The following is a 6,097-nucleotide window of genomic DNA, read 5'->3' on the forward strand; positions in this document are numbered from 1 at the left end:
CAACTGAAGGAAACTGACTGAGTAATGTCCTCCTGCTTTTTAAAGCCACTTCAAAAGGCAGACACTCATTATGCCTGTGCATTTTTCACACTCCCCCATATTTAGACTCACTCTGACTCTGCCCCACATCGCTGCCTGCTCTTCAATGTGGCTTTTAATGATGCAATATTATGTTCATGAGCATGAAGAAACATCTGGGTGCCAATTCTACCTTCACCACTTGCTAGTGGGCAATCCAGAATAAGTTAAACTTGCCGTACACAGTTTCTCATTTATACAATGAGAATACTTTGCGCATACGATGATTTTCAATGATTAAATAACATCATACACGTGATACATCTTAGCGCCTGGCATCTGGTGTCTGTTATGAATACATGTCAATGGTTTTCAAATTCTAATTGACATAAGAATCACCTAGAGCTTGATGAAATACATATTCCCAGGTCTCAAGCCCTCTGATTCATTTGATACAAGACTCTTCTTCTATCTTCCAGGAATATTCATTTACAGAAACAATGCCATATGTCCAGGTGGTCTGGAGATTACCTTCCGAGAAACTCTCCTACGAGTGCTGCTACCTAAACAAATACTTCTCTGATGGCCTGGAGTGGCAACAGTTGGGCAGGTCAGCCCCCAAAAGCCCTCGGAGACCTCTTGATCCAAAAGTATTCCTATTAAGGAAGTCCAGATTCCAATTTTCAGAAGAGGTGAAGAGGTTAGACCCAGCAACCTTTGAGATCTTTTCCCCAAGGCCGTCAGTGACAGCCAGGGAAAGGGCACCAGTTTCATCCTCTTATCTCCATTTATTTAGTGAAGTTATTTTGCTCCGTTGCTACCAGGAGCCCAGCTTAATCCCAATCTGCCCATTATGTTGACATTTCACATCTCAGTGGAGAGGACGTTTACTGCTTTCCCAGTGGACACTGGGAAACAGGGCACTGTTTCCAGCTCCGGACACGCATTCCAACGGGAGCGTCAGACTCTATTATGACAGAGCCCGCTGCTGGGGGAAATGGCAGAGCACGTGCATTTCATCATTTAGGTTTGGTTTCTCTCACACTCTCTCTCAAGAATTACAGAGCTGTACAGAGTGCTTTCTGCTTGGAATGCTCCCAATTTCAAAGTCCTTACCAAAAGAGAACAAGAAAAAGATCTGGTAAAAAGGATCCAGGAACAAACATTCATATTGGTGATGGAGAAAAGTAGATTCCAACAAGCCAGGACCCAGGGAAAAGTAGCATTACCTGGGATGGGAGAGCCGGTAATCAGCTTCTTCGTGTACTGAAAAGTCCCTAAGCTGCGGTCCCTTAGACTCTTCAGCAGATTGGAAAAATGCTGCCTCCCTGGGGCTCTCTGAGGGATGGGAGTGATTCAAATTCCTGCTGTTTTCTGGTCTTAGCTGTGGTAGAAATGGCCCCAAACTCAGCTTCCTGGCAGAATTTTATTTGTCTTATCTAATTTCCTCAGTAGTTGAACAACCAAGAAATCCTGTCCTGGCATCACCTGCAAGGGTGACTTTAGTGATGTTCCTTCATGTCCTCATTGGGCTTTGGTTAATCCATCTATAAACCAAAGTGAATCATGAACTAGCTCACCAAAGCACATTAGAACACACACACACACTTACGCGGAAGGTAGAACTGAAGATTTTTTTAAATCTTGTTCTTCTTTTGTTAGTCCATATTTTCATATTTATAGACTTGATGTTTTTCTTAATATTTTAAAATTTTAAAAATTACTTTAAATGAGGTAGCATTAAAAATAAAAATTTTAAAAAATTAACTTAAGATTCTGTAATAACAAATTAAAGATTAAATTTTTCTTTTTAAAAAATGAGGTAGCACAGCACAAAGATTAAGAACATAACACACTTTAGAAGTATGGGTTCAATTACACCTGTTTCTGCTACGACTAGCTGAGCATTTTGGAACAAGTTATTTAATCACTTTAAACTACCCTTTCCTCATCTATAAAATGAAGATAATATTAGTACCTATCTAATATGGTTTTTGTGAGCAATAATAGAATCTGTGTGAAGTACTTACACAGGTGCTCAATAAATTGCACACTGGTTTTATTATTGGTAACGTGACCTCTTTATGTATAAAGATACAACACCTGTCAAGTAAACACTTACAAACTTGTAGTCCCAAAAATAGAATGATTCATCTGGCATACCCACATCACAACACACTCACGCATTCTCATTGAGCCCCCTTGCTATGACACCACCCATCTGTAAGAAGGTTAAAGAGGTGGGGCATGAGATCTATGGAGGTAGTTGCATCTCATGAACCTGTACAAGAATTGAACCCATAACCCTGGGCTCATTAGCACCTCATGCCATCTGGCAGGAGTCAAATAGACATTATGAGCACTAGTTATCTGAAATCTGTGACTGTGGAGATGGGTTCTATGACTTTGCCGCCCTGAAAATCCGGATTTAGGAAGGATCCCAGATACTTAAAGCAATTAGCAACTTTATCAATGACAGAGATTACACACACACACACACACACACACACACACACACCAGAAAGTTTAATAGAAGTATCGCAGGGACTCTCCTGACCACATACATCTCACTAGAGAGTTGGCTGCACTCTCACCTAAAGAGGAATTCTCCCATCACTCTTCACTGGGCAACAATTGACAATCACTGTCATGGTGAGCAACTGTGACTGATGACAGTATGTTACAGTAGAAAAATATGATCAATTATCTTGATCTAAATAAAACCAACAAGAAAATCATCTTACTTTTTTCTAGCACACATGCACGTGCACACACACACACACACACACACACACACGCACACACTCAGGGCTCTATGGACCTTTGCATCACACCAGCATCTTTGATGCCCTCTCCCCAAGAATAACAAGGGGTCCCAGGCTCACAAGATGCAACTGTCTCAAAAGATCTCATGCCCAATCTCTGTAACCTTCTTACAGATGGGTGCTGTCATAGCAAGGGGCTCAATGAAAATGTGTGAGTATGTGTGTTGGGGGATGAGTACACCAGATAATTCATTTTACTTTTGGGACTACAAGTTTTTGAATGTTTGCTTGACAGATGTTGTGTCTTTATATATAAAGAGGGCAGATTACCACTTTTTCTGATCACAAACAAGTCAGATCTTCTGCCATGTGCTATCTCCTACTTTTCTTCCACTTCTCTCCTACCCAGCCCCTACCTGCACAGTTCCTGAATATCCACTTTCTCCTCTGTGGTTTCTATTGAACATTGCAGCCACCTGCTTGGAGGACCTCCTATGCGGGGACCAATATATTGAAATTCTCAGGTTTCCAAAGCTGTATCCTCTGGTGTCCTCAGTCCACAAAAGCCACACTGTGTTCCACACAGACGTGAGATCCACATCTCTTTTGTGGACGATCCTTGCCCAGCTGAAGACTAACACAATACTGCTGTGTAAGGATGGCTTACAGAGAGTTGAATGAAAGACTCCATTTTCACCATCTGTCTCATTCTCCTGGGACTAAGGCAGTACTCCATGAAAGGCTGGGCAAGAAAAAAAGCCAAGTACTATACAGTGTAAATTATTCAAAAGCCTTCTCCTCCCCTCCGAAAGCCAAAGATGCATGCTCTTTCACTAGACCAAGCACATCTGATTTCCTCTCCCCTTAGGATGAGTTGTCTCCTAGCAGCCCTCATCAAGCATTCATGCAAATACATTCTTTGCAGGCTCCGTCTCACCAGGAGTCCTGACCTGTCTTCAAGAAATGAACACTGCTTAAGATCAAACTGGGACCTCCCCATGCACAAACATACAAATAAACTTTTCCAGCTCCTTTGCTTCCCATCTGATTTCTAAAACTCTGAATATGCACACCATAAATGAAAAGAACAGATATTCGCTATCCCCAAAGCCCATCATTTTAAAGGTGTAAATTAGTAAATAAAGGGCTGGGGATTTAGGATATGGTTTCTCAAGGGCGAGTTGAATATAAAGCTGCCTTGATACAAAACTGTGCCTTACTACTCACCCTGCCTTTGGCAGGGGCACTGCCCTGACCTCCCTGTCTTAACCCAGCAATGGCCTGGCCCTAAACACCTTTCAAAACGTACCTGTCTTAGATTCAACTCCCACAGGCCCTAAACTCCTAAACTAGCCAGTTCCTCTTTCGCTGTGAGAGTGAACTGATGAAATAATCCTCTCAGCTTCCATCGTTACCTTTAAACAGAGTACTCTAGAGTAACAACTTAACCTAAAGATCCCATGGATGAGTCTCCATGCAGGAGATGGTGCAAGGCTAGACCAGGGAAGGATGGCCTTTCCCAGAGGCCCACCAACCTCCACATTATGACTGCAAAGCCCTGTCCTATTATTTTGATTTCTTCCTTCTTATGCCCAGCAGCCTTTTAAGAGAAAGTGAACGAAATAATCACCAAAGCAAGCATTCGGTTGTTTGATTTTACTTTTGGTGGTTTTAGTTTCAATTGGTACTCTTACGTATCCCATGCTCCTGGCCCTTGTCATTTTTCCTATGCCAGCCACAACTTGAATAATTCTGATATTTGAATGAATTCTCTAGCGAGTCCAGAGCTGTGGAGCTTTGGCCCTTCTTTCTCTCCTGCATCCAGTACTTTCACTCTGATGGTCATTATGTAAATAGGAAAATATTTAGCTCTGGTTTCCTGGAATCTTCTGCGTAACCAGATCTGCAGGTGTGTGGGAGATCAAGGCCTTTGTGTGAGTCCACATAAACATATGCTCCAAAGAAAGGAACTAAACCTCCCTCTCCTTGACCCTAGAGCCAGGACTCTTTTCCCTTCGCTAGGCAAAACCCCTCACACTTGTCTTAAAAGGTTTCCTGAACCTTGCAGAGGGAGGCTTACACCAGCATGTGCTGACCCACTACCGAGCCAAGCATCATGGCTGAAGAGAATGCTCATCTTTGAGATGATAACTTACAAAGATGAAAAAAGTACTGATTTTATAAGATAATCCTCATTAATGTATCTTCTTTTTATTTTTCAACAGCCAAGTGTGCATGTATAGTAACTTCAACAACAGAAGTATCTAATAGCAATTCTCAGCCAGTCTCCCAACACACAGAGCTCTCTAGAATATTTTAATCATATAACCAGAAAATATGTACTTTTGTTTCACTTACCTTTGTCGAGAATCCATGTAAAAATGGTGTTTAACTTCTGTGAAACAATAACTCGATTCAGTGTGGGGGTTAGAGGTGTAGATTTCTAAGCTTCTGGGCTATTGTGAGGTTTGGATGACTCTCTAAGCCTTCTAATCATTTGTTTCATCAAATTATTTTCTCAAAGTCTACAAGGGGTCATACTAGACCAAACCTAAAAGTTTCTTCAGTGTGCCTACATTTCTAAACAAGACTAGGAGAGGAAATTTGAACTCACAGCTCCAGCCAATACCCTCCTTCTGCCCTTCAGTCTTCATTGCTTTCCTCCAACATAGTAGCTCAGATTTCATTTGTCTGTGAATGGTAGAAAACCAAAAATAGCAGTGTCTAAAATAATACAAAAGTTGACTTATGTCTCAGTGTAAGAGGTTCAAGACTGTCCTGGTTTCTTCACAAACCTAGAGCTCTAGGTCCCTTTAAGCTAATTGCCCCCACGGCCTTGGCTTCATGATCCAAGATGGCGGCTGTTACACTTCTGGCAACAGGTTAGAGACAAAGGGCATCTCATGCTGTCTCTTAAGAATTTCACCAGGACCTTTCATGTGACATTTCTGCTTAAAGTCCCAGTAAACAAAACTTTGTTCCCTGGCCAGACCTAGATATGAGAGAGTCTAGGAAATGGTATCACCATTCTGGAGATTACAGGTCCAGTCAAAAGTCAGAGGCTCTCTCACCATGGAAAAAGGAGAGAATAGATATTAGGGGATTTCCAGCAATCTCTTTCACATGACCAGCTATTCTCATAAATTTTCAAATCACAGCGAATTTTGAATTAAGAGATGAGGCTGGCTGAAAGGCCAGCAGTAGATCAGAGGAGCAGGTGGCAGACTGTGTGCTGAGAAAGAGAACAAGCTGAAACAGAAAAACAAACAGAGCTGAATGCAAGGGCATGAGTGAAAGAAAGAAGCTGATAGTGA

At 41.8% G+C, this 6,097-nt stretch overlaps 1 long non-coding RNA gene across 2 annotated transcripts, besides 1 other annotated feature; it reads left to right on the forward strand.

Annotated features, from left to right (window-relative positions):
• Nucleotides 1-1,204: 1,204 nt before the first annotated feature.
• LOC124903468 (uncharacterized) lies at nucleotides 1,205-3,826 on the forward strand. 2 transcript variants are annotated; one of them, XR_007064593.1, is made up of 2 exons: nucleotides 1,205-1,264; nucleotides 3,709-3,826. It is a non-coding gene; the product is annotated as an uncharacterized LOC124903468 (long non-coding RNA). The 2 variants fall into 2 exon arrangements; XR_007064592.1 differs by lacking the exon at nucleotides 1,205-1,264 and adding an exon at nucleotides 2,849-2,994.
• Nucleotides 4,077-4,146: a silencer, noted in NCBI's record as "silent region_6309". NCBI's record gives its function as "represses an Ori minimal core promoter by ATAC-STARR-seq in GM12878 lymphoblastoid cells {active_cell/tissue: GM12878}" and the evidence as "EXISTENCE:reporter gene assay evidence [ECO:0000049][PMID:35858748]".

This window comes from Homo sapiens, chromosome 15, assembly GCF_000001405.40.
Source record: "Homo sapiens chromosome 15, GRCh38.p14 Primary Assembly".
Lineage (NCBI taxonomy): Eukaryota > Metazoa > Chordata > Mammalia > Primates > Hominidae > Homo > Homo sapiens.